Here is a 14,829-nt window from a genome sequence, read left to right on the forward strand (position 1 = left end):
ACCATGGGTGGGTGAGCTTTCTTATCAGTCTGCCCTCATTGTCGGTTTTAGGGATTTCAGGAGGTAGGTTCCTGCTCCGGGTAGGGCTAGAGACCTTCCCCTCATTGCCTGGGGGAGAACCTGGCTCCGGGGCGCCGACGGGGGCGGGTGGTAGGGGATGTACGGGTGTGTATATGCAGAGGTATGCCAGGCTCTGCCCCTTAAAGTTTGGGGGCCGGCGGAGGCGGCGCCGTGGCCGGGAGAAAGTGTCTCTCATTTAGGAGGGTTTGCAGGTCCAGAGTAAAGTCACTGAAGAGTGGAAGCGAGGAAGGAACAGGATGATTAGACCTCAGCTGCGGACCGCGGGGCTGGGACGATGCCTCCTGCCGGGGCTGCTGCTGCTCCTGGTGCCCGTCCTCTGGGCCGGGGCTGAAAAGCTACATACCCAGCCCTCCTGCCCCGCGGTCTGCCAGCCCACGCGCTGCCCCGCGCTGCCCACCTGCGCGCTGGGGACCACGCCGGTGTTCGACCTGTGCCGCTGTTGCCGCGTCTGCCCCGCGGCCGAGCGTGAAGTCTGCGGCGGGGCGCAGGGCCAACCGTGCGCCCCGGGGCTGCAGTGCCTCCAGCCGCTGCGCCCCGGGTTCCCCAGCACCTGCGGTTGCCCGACGCTGGGAGGGGCCGTGTGCGGCAGCGACAGGCGCACCTACCCCAGCATGTGCGCGCTCCGGGCCGAAAACCGCGCCGCGCGCCGCCTGGGCAAGGTCCCGGCCGTGCCTGTGCAGTGGGGGAACTGCGGGGATACAGGTGAGCCGCGGGGGCGCGCGCCCTCGGAACACTTTCTAACTCTGGAGGAGCGTAAAGGAACAAGACCTCACTGAGACCGCACAGTTCGCGCCTGGTCCTCCTGCGTCATTTGCCTCCTGGATTCGACACCTCTGTGTTCCTGATTTCCTTTCCTCCTTAACAGGGGCTCTTTACCGGCTGCTACGTGGTTTCTCCCTCCCCATGCACCTTTTGAACACTGTCTTGCCTTTAACATTTTTCCAACTAGGATAGCAGGTCTGGTTCCCTCGAGGCGTACTCTTGAGCCAGTATTTTTTCATAGGGACCAGAAGCGCAGGCCCGCTCAGGAGGAATTACAACTTCATCGCCGCGGTGGTGGAGAAGGTGGCGCCATCGGTGGTTCACGTGCAGCTGTGGGGCAGGTAAAGGAGGAGGAGGAAGACCTCCACTGTCCCAGCTAATGGTTTCTGCGTGCCTACCTGCTCCAGACCCTTCGCAAGCGTCATTTAATCCTAAAAAACCAGTGAGGAAACTGAGACGTAAAGAGGTTGAATAACCTGTTCAAGGTCATTTAACCAAAGAGCAGAGGCACAAGGATGCTGACTTCTAAATCCCAGCTCCCCCTGCCCACTTAGGTGGCTGGTGCTTTTTCCCCCTCCTGCCACAGACAAAATTTAAGGTCAGATATAAGAGCTAGTAGGCAATTTCTTTTCTTTTTTTGAGACAAGGTCTTGCTCTGTCGCCAGGGCTGAAATGCAGTGACAGATCACGGCTCACTGCAGCTCCATCTGCTGGGCTCAAGTAATCCTCCCAACCCAGCCTCTGGAGTAACTGGGACTATAGGCAGGTGCCACCATACCCAGCTAATATTTGTATTTTTTTGTAGAGACGAGGTCTTGTTATATTGCTCAGGCTGGTCTCGAACTCCTGGGCCCAAACGATCTGCCACCTTAGCCTCCCGACGTGCTGGGATTACGGGTGTAGCCACCACATCCAGCTTAGTAGGCATTTTGGTTGTGATCTTGCTCAGCCCCCACTTTGGATACAAGGAAATCCAGACCCAGAGAGCAGGGTTAATTTGTCCTATGTTACTATGTTACGAGGCCAGTTGGCGGTGGAAACTAAGCCAGAATCAGAGCCCTTTGATTCTCTCCTGCCTGGGTCCTTGATACTGTGGTAAGAGGCTGACTTTTGCCTCTAGTATTAGGATTGGGTTCAGTCTTTTCGCAGCAGAGAACCCATGGGCTGCTACACTAACCAGCTCTGAAGAAGCAGTGTCCCTGGAAAAGGAGAGCTGGACCCCACTCTCAACCATGCTCACAAGAGATGGCTGGGGCCCTGTACCTGCCAAGTCCACTGATACATGGAGAAAATTTACGCATAGCCAGGGAAAAGTGAAATGTCTGAGAAAACTGAAGGAAGGCTGGGTACGGTGGCTCATGCCTGTAATCCCAGCACTTTGGGAGGCCGAGGCGGGTGGATCACCTGAGGTCAGGCGTTCGAGAGCAGCCTGGCCAACATGGTGAAACCCCATCTCCACTAAAAATACAAAAATTAGCCAGGCGTGGTGGTGCATGCCTGTTATCCCAGCTACTTGGGAGGCTGAGGCAGGAGCCTGGGAGGTGGTTGCAGTGAGCCGAGATTGCGCCACTGCACTCCAGCTTGGGCAACAGAGCGAGATTCTGTCTCAAAAAAGAAAAAAGAAAAGAAAAGAAAACTATGATGGAGGTATGTTTAATAAGAGTGAGGTTCCCATGACTCAGATTATATGGCTGTATCCCCTAACTTTCTTGCCCTCTGTTTACACTATTGTCTTGTGGAGACAGGTTACTTCACGGCAGCAGGCTTGTTCCTGTGTACAGTGGCTCTGGGTTCATAGTGTCTGAGGACGGGCTCATTATTACCAATGCCCATGTTGTCAGGAACCAGCAGTGGATTGAGGTGGTGCTCCAGAATGGGGCCCGTTATGAAGCTGTTGTCAAGGATATTGACCTTAAATTGGATCTTGCGGTGATTAAGATTGAATCAAATGTGAGTATTTCAGGGCTGAGTCAGAGTCTACATATTTGGGGATTTTTATCTATTTGCTGATATTTTCTGCCCCACTACACTCTCACACCACATCTTTTCTGTTGAATATATGCTTTTCTCTGGTTTCTTTCTGTTCTTTACTCCCTCTTTTATTTATTTGCTTCAACGCCTTTCTGTATATCCCTAACCGTTTCTTTCTTTTCTTTCTTTTTTTTTGAAACAGTCTCCCTCTGTCACCCAGGCTGGAGTACAGTGGCTCAATCTCAGCTCACTGCAACCTCTGCCTCCTGGGTTCAAGTGATTCTCCTGCCTCAGCTTCCTGAGTACCTGGGATTACAGGTGCCTGCCACCACGCCTGGCTAATTTTTGTACTTTTAGTAGAGACTGGGTTTTACCATGTTGGCCAGGCTGGTCTCGAACTCCTGACCTCAAGTGATCCGCCCGCTTCGGCCTCCCAAAGTGCTGGGATTACAGGTGTGAGCCACTGCGCTTGGCCTCTAACTGTTTCTATTAACTATCAAGCAGTCTTTTTTTTTTTTTTTTCCTCCTTCAACAAATGCTGCTTCAGGGAAAATTATTTCTCTACTTGTCTTAGGATATCAGAAATTACTGCGATGGACTCAAAGTTGCTAAGGAATACTTTGAAGTCCTTCCTACACATAGTACTGGTAGTCTGCACATCACATATATTGACATGGTGTCTGAGAGCTTTTTAGAAGTTCAGAGTCTCAGCCTTTACCCAGATAGATGTGCTGACTCAGAATCTGCATTAACATAACATCCCTAGGTGATTTGCATGCACATTACAGTGTGAGAAGTGTCACCCTGGGTGATCTCCTTTCTGTTTGTGGCTTATTCACTTTGACTGTTAAGCTTTGAGCTGGAATGGTGCTGTGTAAATTCCTAATGTCAGTTTATGTTCATCAGTGACTTCACTGGCTGTTTACTAATAGTAATTTCTACAAAGTAATTGTTTTAGATCTTAGAAATGATCCTAGTCATCTTAACACTCAAGAGCTTCATGGTAGTTGGACTTTGAGGAAGAAGTAGAAGGCAATCATAGAAGCTGTGTGAGTGGGTGCTTCTCAGGTGGTAAGGGCCAAGGTGATAGAGACAGCGTCATATATGTGTTAGACACACACTTTGGTCAATTCTGATCGTGATTTGTTCTTTACCCTTTCTGTCCTCCCCATCCCTTTTTGGGCACGTGCAGGCTGAACTTCCTGTACTGATGCTGGGAAGATCATCTGACCTTCGGGCTGGAGAGTTTGTGGTGGCTTTGGGCAGCCCATTTTCTCTGCAGAACACAGCTACTGCAGGAATTGTCAGCACCAAACAGCGAGGGGGCAAAGAACTGGGGATGAAGGATTCAGATATGGACTACGTCCAGATTGATGCCACAATTAATGTAAGTCACTTAGGACAGAGGTGCCCAACCCATGGGCTGTGGACCAGTACAGGTCCATGGCCTGTTAGGAACTGGGCCGCACAGCAGGCTGTGAGCCATGGGCGAGTGAGAATGACTGCCCGAGTTCCACCTCCTGTCAGATCAGTGGCGGCATTAAATTCTCATAGGAGTGCAAACCCTATTGTGAACTGCGCATGCAAGGGATCTGGATTGCATGTTCCTTATAGAATCTAACTCATGCCCGATGATCTGAGGTGGAGCAGTTTCATCCCAAACCACCCCTCCGTCTGTGGAAAAATTGTCTTCCACAAAGCCGGTCCCTGTGCCAAAAAGTTTGGGGATTGCTGACTTAGGAGGCCTTTCCTCAGATCACACAATATTGGCAGTTCAGTGAGAAGAATATGTCAGAGTGAACTTTGGGGATGTCCAGGTTTGGTTGAATCACTGTGGGAGGAATGGAATGCCACTTTGTTAGAGTCTGTCTCGTTCGCTGTGATCGCTGGCATCCATGCTATTAGGTGGTCTGTTGTAGAGGTCACCCCTCCTGTAAGAAGGTGGTGGTCCCTTGGCCAGGCACGGTGGCTCATGCCTGTAATCCCAGCACTTTGGGAGGCCGAAGGGGGTGGATCATGAGGTCAGGCATTCGAGACCAGTCTGGCCAACATGATGAAACCCTGTCTCTACTAAAAATACAAAAATTAGCTGGGCATGGTGGCGGGTGCCTGTAATCCCAGCTACTCAGCAGGCTGAGGCAGGAGAATCACTTGAACCGGGAGGCAGAGGTTGCAGTGAGTCGAGATTGCGCCATTGCATTCCAGCCTGGGCAACAGAGTAAGACTCCGTCTCAAAAAAAAAAAAAAAAAATGAAGGTGGTGGTCCCACTGCTATAGTTCTTTACCTACACTGACTTTGGTATTGGTGATGATAGGGGCACAATTTTGCCGGCCTGGGGGGAATAGGAGCTTGGTGGGCTGCTTTTGGTAAACTGTTTTGGGAGCTATGTGTAAAGGACAAGGGGGAATGTATTCATTAGCTTCACTGATGTCTTTTTCAAATTCTGCTTTTAGTATGGGAATTCTGGTGGTCCTCTGGTGAACTTGGTAAGTGATCACTTTCCTTGTTGCTTCATGTTTCTTCTTAACTTTCAAAGACTTTATTAATTCCAGGCCAGGGGTGGTGGCTCATGCCTGTAATCCCAGCACATTTGGGATGACTGCTTGGGGCCAGGAGTTTGAGACTAGCCTGGGCAAGACAGCAAGACACCATATCTACAAAAACAAAAACAAAAAAGGACTTTACATATTCCATGATGCAGACTTGGGTGCCACTCTTGTGTAGAGAGCTGTGGAATGGTGCTTTTCTGTTCTTGGACCTTAAGTCAATAGTTAGAAAAAATTCAAGATTGTTATCCTGGTGTGTGATCTCATCCCACTGAGAACACTAGGGTTCTAGCTCCGGCTTCCTTTGAAATTTCTCTCTTCCCCGTGCTTTCTGTTTTCATTGGCTAGTTACCCAAAGCCCTGGATTTTATTTATTTATTTATTTATTTAATAGAGACGATGTCTCACTATGTTGCCCAGGCTGGTCTCAAACTCCTGAGTTCAAGTGATCCTCCTGCCTTGGCCTCCCAAAGTGTTAGGATTACAGGCATGAGCCACCATGCTGTGCCAAAAGCCCTGGATATTAAACCCAGGTTTATGCCAAATGACCAGCTTTGCTATGAAATGTAGGTCCTTGAAGACTCCTTGATGCTGCATATGAAGAACTATCTCTCATTTAAAAATGCTAATTACATAATGTCATCTGTCCAGGTTTTTAGTCTTGACCTCTTGACCTGCTTATAGATGAGAGAAAAGCCACAACCAGCACTCCTGACTTCAAGTGAGCTGCCTGCCTTGGCCTCTCAAATACATTGCCGTGTCATGTATTCTTAAATTGTATTCCGTGTCTCTAGTGGAAATGTCAGGGTTTCTAGTTGCCCAAATACATGTGAAAACCTAAGAGAGTGCAATGCTGTTTGACACATAGCATGTGATCATCCTTTCTGAGTCCCTTTGCACTGATTGCTTTTGGTTCCTGTTTAAATATTACATTTGCTTTTAGAATGAATTTTATGCAAAATGATTGTTTTTTTTTTTTTACTCATAGCATTGCATGTCATTTTTCTTTGTTTTGTTCCTGCCTTCTCCATTAGACAATGAGTTTACTAGAGCAGGGATGAAATGCAGAATTTCAGGCCATACCCCCGACCTACTGAATTACAATCTGTAGTTTAACACAATCAGAAATCTCTTTTCTGGCTGGGTACGGTGGCTCACTCCTGTAATCCCAGCACTTTGGGAGTCTGAGGTGGGTGGATCACCTGAGGTCAGGAGTTCAAAACCAGCCTGGCCAACATGGTGAAACCCCATCTCTACCTAACATACAAAAAAAAAAAAAAATTAACTGGGCATGGTGGCATGCGCCTGTAATCCCAGCTACTTGGGAGGCTGAGGCAGGAGAATCGCTTGAACCCGGGAGGCAGAGGTTGCAATGAGCCAAGGTTGCACCAATGCACTCCAGCCTGGGCAACACAGTGAGACTCCGTCTCAAAAAGAAAAGAAAAAAAAAAAGAAATCTCTTTTTTATCCTTTCCCATTACCTAAAAGGCTAAAGGAAGATGAGGTACATAAAGAGGAAAATATTTTCTACCTCATACCTTTAGCTTAGCAGAGCTTTGTTCCCTAAGGTCAATTTTGCTAATTCTCAGTGCAGTGTTACTGACAATCCCACAGCTTTTTACCTTTTCCATGTTTATTTTTACTTTTAAATAATAAAAAGGCAAATGCTCCTTGTCCTTCTACCTTTGTCAAAATACAAACTGTGGCTCACTTTTAAAGTCAATGTAACTTACTAAAGGAAAAAAATGAGCTTAAGTTTTTTTTTTTTTTTTTTTTTTTTTTTTTTTTTTGAGACGGAGTCTCGCTAGGTCGCCCAGGCCGGAGTGCAGTGGCGCGATCTCGGCTCACTGCAAGCTCCGCCTCCCGGGTTCACGCCATTCTCCTGCCTCAGCCTCCCGAGTAGCTGGGACTACAGGCACCCGCCACCAGGCCCGGCTAATTTTTTATATTTTTAGTAGAGATGGGGTTTCACCATGTTAGCCAGGATGGTCTCGATCTCCTGACCTCGTGATCCGCCCGCCTCGGCCTCCCAAAGTGCTGGGATTACAGGCGTGAGCCACTCTGCCCAGCCATGAGCTCAAGATTTTAAAAAGTCCTCAGCATCCTTGATCCTTTGGCCATGAAAAGAAGGTAACTTCTGCGCATGTGCAGTTACCCTTTGCTGTCCCATCACACTATTTGCCCTATAAAGGAACATCCGTTGCTCTCTTTTGAAGTACAAAGTTCCTCTCGGCCCTGTTTTCTGACCCTAAGTAACTAGCTTCACTCCTTCTTCTGCTTGTTCTGGTCTTGCACTCATCAGTTTGCAAAACTTCATGACTGAATGATGTCCCCTCCCTTGCCAGGATGGTGATGTGATTGGCGTCAATTCATTGAGGGTGACTGATGGAATCTCCTTTGCAATTCCTTCAGATCGAGTTAGGCAGTTCTTGGCAGAATACCATGAGCACCAGATGAAAGGTAAAGCAAGTTGGGATTTTTTTTTTTTTGGTTTCGTCTTGTGCTTTTCAGGAACACTCAATCTTTTGTGGTGACAGCAATTTTTTTGTTTTTGTTTTTGAGACAGAATTTTGCTCGTCATCCAGGTTGGAGTGCAGTGGCGTGATCTTGGTTTACTGCAACCTCTGCCTCCTGGGTTCAAGCGATTCTCCTGCCTCAGCCTTCCGAGTAGCTGGGACTACAGGCACCCACTGCCACGCCCAGCTCATTTTCGTATTTTCAGTAGAGACGGGGTTTCACTATGTTGGCCAGGCTGGTCTTGAACTCCTGACCTCCAGTGATCCGCTTGCCTCGGCCTCCCAAAGTGCTGGGATTACAGGCATGAACCACCATGCCTGGCCCGGAGACAGCCATTTGAATCCTGTAGACTACTGGGTCACTCATTTGTACTCAGCTCCTATAATGGTGATTTGAGCAGCAATATTGGGGGACTAGGCACAAACCAAGCATGAGTTGTACCCAGAAGTATTTGGATTGAGCTAATGTGGAAATGAAACCCAGGGGCTGGAGGTGGGAGGTGGGTGGGAGGAGTGTAAGTGCTAATGACAAAGGTTCTCTGAAGCCTGTGTTTCATCCAGGTAACCTGAAAGGACAGCTGTGATGGCAAAGAGATCCTGGGACATGGGTGTCTTTTAAGCTGCGCTAACAGGAAAGAGGTTTTGTTGTAACACATCATAACTTTCCTTTCCAGGAAAGGCGTTTTCAAATAAGAAATATCTGGGTCTGCAAATGCTGTCCCTCACTGTGCCGTAAGCATGTGTTTGAATATGTCTGGGTTGTTTTTCAGAGGCAAAAACCATAGCTGCACAGTCTTAACAGAAAAGCTGAGCCACTTGGACCACAGCCAGGTACTCTTGTGACCATAGGCCCTATCTGTCTCAGGGTATGTATCTGCCTCTGCCTGCATCAGCACTAACTATACATAGTTTATTTCATTGTGGCTGTATTTTATAATGTCCAGTGGTTCTAGGCTTTGGGATAGAGGCTCAGCCCGAACTGAGAGGAGAATGACTGTGATTAGCTTGATGGAATCTTCCTCGGCCCTTGTGAACCTTGAGCAGAACAGAGTACCTACTAAGAATTTCAGGCTTTTACCAGGGCTCAGGAGACTAATTCATTGTTTCCTAATCTTCTCACTTCTCTTAGCCTTAGTGAAGAATTGAAAATGCATTATCCAGATTTCCCTGATGTGAGTTCTGGGGTTTATGTATGTAAAGTGGTTGAAGGAACAGCTGCTCAAAGGTAAGAGAAGTGAAGGCCTTTGTCATCTACCTTTGCTTTTTCTAAATGTGTGCCATGGTAAAATGCATGGGGGATCCAGACTTGATCTGTCCAATACAGTGGCCACTACTTACATGTAGTATGTACTGAGCACATGAAATGTGGCCAGTGTGACTGAGGAACTGAATTTTGAATTAAAGTAAGTTTAATTTAAATTAAAAAACCCAGGCCAGGTGCAGTGGCTCATGCCTGTAATCCCAGCACTTTGGAAGGCCAGGGTGGGTGGATCACCTGAGGTCAGGAGTTTGAGACCAGCATGGCCAACATACTGAAACCCCGTCTCTACTAAAAATACAAAAATTAGTGGGTGCGCCTGTAATTGCAGTTACTTGGGAGGCTGAGGCAGGAGAATCGCTTGAACATGGGAGGCAGAGGTTGCAGTGAGCTGAGATCACGCCACTGTACTCCAGTCTGGGCGACAGAGCAAGACTCCACCTCAAAAAAAAAAATATTATCATTATATAGTAGTATATTGGGGGGGTGTGTTATTTCAAGTGGATTTCAAAGACATAGGAAACAGAGTGTAAAATAACTATTTTAAAAATATCACGTTAAATGATAATATTTGGATATATTGTATTAAATAAGATATATTATTAAATTAAATTCATCTATTTAAAAATTTTTAAAAATGTGGCTACAAGAAAATTTAAAATTATGTATGTGGCTTGCATTATTGTCTACAGGACAGTGCTGATTCAGACTTGGGTACTTATAAAGGCTTTTTTTGTATTTTGGGAGGGAGGTGGTTCTCTATAGTCTAAGAAGAGCTCATGTTATGAGTTAATAGCATAAGTTTAAATTAATTTGGCTAGGAATTCCCAAATCTACCCTTTCAACATTAATAGTTATTACTTAATAACTATTAAGTGATTAACACCTATTAGGTATTAGTAACTATTAATTATTCATTAATAGTTTTTTTTTCTTTTGAGATGGAGTCTCACTCGTTGCCCAGGCTGCAGTGCAGTGGTGCAATCTTGGCTCACTGCAACCTCCACCTCTCAGGTTCAAGCAATTCTCCTGCCTCAGCCTCCCGAGTAGCTGGGATTACAGGCACCCGCCACCACGCTTGGTTAATTGTTGTATTTTTAGTAGAGACAGGGTTTCACCATGTTGGCCAGGCTGGTCTCGAACTCCTGACCTCAAGTGATCCACCCACCTCGGCCTCCCACAGTACTGGGATTACAGGCATGAGCCACCACGCCTGGCCATATTTTAGGTATTTTAAAACACATTTTTCGGCTGGGCATGTTGGCTCAGCCCTGTAATCCTAGCACTTTGGGAGGCTGAGGTGGGAGGATTGCTTGAGCCTGAGAGTTCGAGACCAGCCTGGGGAACACGGTGAAACCCTGTCTCTACAAAAAATAAAAATTAGGCCAGGTGCCGTGACTCACGCCTGTAATCCCAGTACTTTGGGAGGCCAAAGTGGGCAGATCACTTGAGGTCAGGATTTTGAGACCAGCCTGGCAAACTTGGTGAAACACCATCCCTACTTAAAAAATATAAAAATTAGCTGGGTGTGGTGTCGCATGCCTGTAATCCCAGCTACTTGGGAGGCTGAGGTCAGAGAATCGCTTGAACCTGGGCAGCAGAGGTTGCAGTGAGCTGGGATCACGCCCCTGTACTCCAGCCTGGGCAAGAAAGCGAGACCCCATTTAAAAAAACAAAAAACAAAAAACAAAAATTAGCCAGGTGTGGTGGTTTGCACCTGTGGTCCCAGTTACTTGGGGAGGTCGAGATGGGAGGATCACCTGAGTCTGGGCTGTAATGAGCTGTGCTCATGCCACTGCACTCCAGCCTGTGCAACAGAGTGAGACCCTGTCTCAAACAAACAAACAAGCAAAAAAAAACTACACCAAAACCTCACAAAACCTACATTTTTCTTTGAACTCTGAATGACAATATCAGAGGCCAGCGCTAAGACCTGTGTAATAAAGCAAAGGCTAGGACAGCTTCCAAAAGAAGGTTCTCCAGCTGATTTCACTGTTGTTTCAAAACATTTAATACTAAGTACTGAGAGAGGTGGCTTGTCCTACAAATATCATTCTCCTGGGCTTTTCTGTTGTACTTCTTTTTTTTTTTTTTTTTTGAGACGGAGTCTCGCTCTGTCACCAGGCTGGAGTGCAGTGATGCGATCTCGGCTCACTGCAACCTCTGCCTCCTGGGTTCAAGTGATTCTCCTGCCTCAGCCTCCCGAGGAGCTGGCACTACAGGCGTGTGCCACCACGCGCAGCTAATTTTTGTATTTTTAGTAGAGATGGGTTTTCACCATGTTGGCCAGGATGGTATCCATCTCTTGACCTTGTGATCCGCCTGCCTCGGGCTCCCAAAGTGCTGGGATTACAGGCGTGAGCCACCGCCCGCGGTCTGTACTTCTTTATTATCCCTTTCTCATTGTTTTTATTTTTCAAGAGCTCAGTAATCTGTTTAGATTATGGCACCACTTTCACTGGGGCTTTCCCCCTAGTGAAATCAGAGGGCACTGTTCAGCACAGCAGTCATAGGTCTCATGTTACTAAATTTGGCTTGTCCCTGGTTTCTCTGGACTTTTCTCATTCCTGCTCTGCTCCACTCTTCCCCCATTTCCTTAAGTTCTGGTTCAAGACCAAAGCTATTTCTTTCGGCTAAGTCCTTGCTACTCAGAATGTGGTCTGTAGACCAGCGTCATTAGCTCAGCTGGGGCTTGTTGGAAAGGCAGAATCCCAGGTCCCACCTTTGATCCACTGAATCGGAATCTGTGTGTTTAACAAGATCCCCAGGTGATTCATGTGTATGTTAAAATGTGAAAATTAGTGCTGGAAGTTGCTGATAAACAGAAATCAGGACTGGGCATGGTGGCTCATGCCATGATGTGGGAGGATCATTTGAAACCAGGAGTTTGAGACCAGCCTGAGCAACATAGTTTCTAAAGACAAATAAATAAAATAAACAAAATCAGCTGGGTGTGGTGGCAGGTGCCTGTAGGGAGGCTGAGGCAGGAGGATCATGTGAGCCCAGGAGTTTGAGGCTGCAGTGAGCCATGACTGCACCACTGTATTCCAGCCTGGGTAAGAGAGTGAGAACCTGTCTCAAACAAATCTATTCTTTCTGGCTTTCACTGACTTATACCTAATATAATGATAATTACACCACTATCTGGCACTTACAAAACTTTTACTATATCTCAGGCACTATTTGAAGTGTTTTATTTTTATTATTATTATTTTTTTGAGACTGAGTTTCGCTCTTGTTGCCCCAGCTGGAATGCAATGGCATGATCTCAGCTCACTGCAACCTCCGCCTCCTGGGTTCAAGCGATTCTTCTGCCTCAGTCTCCCAAGTAGCTGGGATTACACACCTAGCTAATTATTGTACTTTTAATAGAGACGAGGTTTCACTATGTTGGGCAGGCTGGTCTCGAACTCCTGACCTCAGGTGATCCACACGCCTGTGGCTCCCAAAGTGCTGGGATTACAGTGTGAGCCACTGCTCCTGGCCTATTTGAAGTGTTTTATACACCTGTTTGTGCTCCCAACATTTTATGATATAGGTATTATTTTATAGAGGAAGCAGCTGTGGTACAAAGAGGTTCATTAACTTGTAGAACGCAGTAAATCAGAGAGCAGAGAGCAGGGATGTGGGCCCTGGCTGAACCCTTCTATTATCCTGCTTTGGTGGCTGCTTTTCTGTTTCTGACAGGCAGAGTGATTTAGTGGCAAGAAGATGGGTTCCCAAGTCTGAAAGACCCAGGATGAAATCCCTCTCACAAGTTGCATGACACAGAAAAAGGTCATTTGTCCTGTCTGAGCCATAGTTCCTCATATTTGGTGCATAGGTTATTAGTAATAATTTGCAGGTTTCTTTTTCTCTTTTCTGACTCACAGGACTAGTATGAATTAAGTTCTCTATAAGTTCTTTCTTTGTACTCACTGGTCCTAAGTCATCCTCCTAAACTGTCTTTGTTCTAAGGTTATTTCTTGATTTTAGTTTTATACTTAAGCGTCTCTTCATATCCTCTTGCGTTAAGCTTCTTCTTTTTAAACTCCACATATCTTGATGATCAAACCACATTATCATTCTTCCTTGAGCTTCCCATTTCTATCAAGTGGTGTCTCCTGGAGTCATTTGCTGTTCCTTTTTCAGCCTATTTTCACCAAATCACTGGCATGGCTATTTCTGTATTGTAGTGTTTTGTATTTGGAGCTGGTTTTTGCTTCTAGAATATATACTCTATGTGAAGCAATTATGTTGAAGGCAATAAAGTCACAACTTTGGAGAAAAGGAGCCTAGAGCCAGAGCTGGAAATATTTAGACTCAGAAGGTTGGCGGGTTTTTGATTTAGTGGAAGCAGAATTCCTATAATGCAGCTCAGCATCCTTCCCAGCTCCATAAGCTGGGGCGGGGGGGTGGGGTGGGGTGGGAAAGACAGGCAAGTGAGTGGGCTGCCAGAATCAAACTGAGCCGAGTTTAAGTGTCTGGGAGAAAACATATTGCTTGGGCTTTTCACTTTGGCTGCTGAGGCTGGGAGCATGTTTGAAGTTCACAGAGGTCAGGGGTTGATAGAAATTAAAAGCTAAACTCCCCCTTCCAAACCAACTCCCCAAAATGGGAGGAGTAAACTTCTCACATGATTCTGATAGGAAATTAATTTTATAAAGGTAAATAAGACAGTTGTCCTCTAGGTGACTTTTTTGCAGCATATTTTAGAATAGCTTTATGATTTGGAAGGATTGAGGCTATTTTCTCGTTTGTATGCTTAATGCCAGCAAAATAGTGCCATTAAGACAGAAATATTAAATTATAGATGGGGATAAGTAAAATTCTTGTTATAGTTTCATGATCCTCTTTTTTTTCTCCCTCTCTCAGCTCTGGATTGAGAGATCACGATGTAATTGTCAACATAAATGGGAAACCTATTACTACTACAACTGATGTTGTTAAAGCTCTTGACAGTGATTCCCTTTCCATGGCTGTTCTTCGGGGAAAAGATAATTTGCTCCTGACAGTCATACCTGAAACAATCAATTAAATATCTTGTTTTAAAGTGGGATTATCTAAAAAAAAAAAAACCAGTTATATCACGTGGTTTGTATTGGAGATGTGCCAAACATGGCAAGAAGTTTTTGGATCTTTTTCTTACAAAGAAAAATGGATGGTTATCAACCCAAATGCCCATCAATGACAGACTGGATAAAGCAAATGTGGTACATATACACCATGGAATACTATGCAGCCATAAAAAGCAACAGTCCTCTGCAGGGACATGGATGGAGCTGGAAACCATTATCCTCAGCAAACTAACGCAGGAACAGAAAACCAAATACTGCATGTTCTCACTTATAAGTGGGAGCTGAACAATGAGAACACATGAACATAGGGAGGGGAACAACACACACTGGGGCCTGGCAGTGGGTAGGGTAGAGGGAGGGAGAGCATTAGCAAAAATAGCTAATGCATGCTGGGCTTAACACCCAGGTGATGGGTTGATTGATAGGTGCAGCAAACCATCATGGCACACATTTACCTATGAAACAAACCTGCACATCCTGCATATGTACCTCAGAACTTAAAAATAAAAATAAAAAGAAAAATGGTAATGTTGTGAGATTACAATTAAAAAATAAGAAAAATGGAGTTTGAAACACATATACACATTCAGGGATCATTAGGTTGGGGTACTATACTGTTGCTAAGATGCCTGACTAT

General features: G+C 46.0%; 1 protein-coding gene across 3 annotated transcripts, besides 3 other annotated features; it reads left to right on the top strand.

Annotated features, from left to right (window-relative positions):
* Nucleotides 1-281: 281 nt before the first annotated feature.
* Nucleotides 282-14,717, top strand: HTRA4 (HtrA serine peptidase 4). 3 transcript variants are annotated; one of them, NM_153692.4, is made up of 9 exons: nt 282-783; nt 1,085-1,184; nt 2,589-2,793; nt 4,007-4,201; nt 5,269-5,301; nt 7,707-7,821; nt 8,552-8,609; nt 9,007-9,102; nt 13,990-14,717. In NM_153692.4, exons 1-9 carry the CDS (start codon nt 318-320, stop codon nt 14,150-14,152), a joined length of 1,431 nt encoding a protein of 476 aa, NP_710159.1. In that variant the 5' UTR covers nt 282-317; the 3' UTR covers nt 14,153-14,717. The 3 variants fall into 3 exon arrangements, with proteins under 3 accessions (NP_710159.1, XP_011542733.1, XP_011542734.1); XM_011544431.3 differs by lacking the exons at nt 8,552-8,609; nt 9,007-9,102; nt 13,990-14,717 and adding an exon at nt 8,648-8,999; XM_011544432.2 differs by lacking the exons at nt 7,707-7,821; nt 8,552-8,609; nt 9,007-9,102; nt 13,990-14,717 and adding an exon at nt 6,013-6,539.
* Nucleotides 449-678: a silencer, noted in NCBI's record as "silent region_19139". NCBI's record gives its function as "represses an Ori minimal core promoter by ATAC-STARR-seq in GM12878 lymphoblastoid cells {active_cell/tissue: GM12878}" and the evidence as "EXISTENCE:reporter gene assay evidence [ECO:0000049][PMID:35858748]".
* Nucleotides 859-918: an enhancer, noted in NCBI's record as "active region_27271". NCBI's record gives its function as "activates an Ori minimal core promoter by ATAC-STARR-seq in GM12878 lymphoblastoid cells {active_cell/tissue: GM12878}" and the evidence as "EXISTENCE:reporter gene assay evidence [ECO:0000049][PMID:35858748]".
* Nucleotides 5,444-5,738: a silencer, noted in NCBI's record as "tiled region #15086; HepG2 Repressive non-DNase unmatched - State 23:Low". NCBI's record gives its function as "represses a minimal TATA promoter and a strong SV40 promoter by Sharpr-MPRA in HepG2 cells {active_cell/tissue: HepG2}" and the evidence as "EXISTENCE:reporter gene assay evidence [ECO:0000049][PMID:27701403]".
* Nucleotides 14,718-14,829: the final 112 nt, after the last annotated feature.

Source organism: Homo sapiens, chromosome 8 (assembly GCF_000001405.40).
Source record: "Homo sapiens chromosome 8, GRCh38.p14 Primary Assembly".
NCBI classification, from domain to species: Eukaryota; Metazoa; Chordata; class Mammalia; order Primates; family Hominidae; genus Homo; species Homo sapiens.

Bases quoted from the DNA above. Each gene is read 5' to 3' on its own strand.
- HTRA4 (NM_153692.4), top strand. From the start codon at position 318: ATGATTAGACCTCAGCTGCGGACCGCGGGGCTGGGACGATGCCTCCTG. The intron at 1,185-2,588 runs GTAAAGGAGGAG...TTGTGGAGACAG, and splicing joins CACGTGCAGCTGTGGGGCAG to GTTACTTCACGGCAGCAGGC. The intron at 5,302-7,706 runs GTAAGTGATCAC...CTCCCTTGCCAG, and splicing joins GTGGTCCTCTGGTGAACTTG to GATGGTGATGTGATTGGCGT.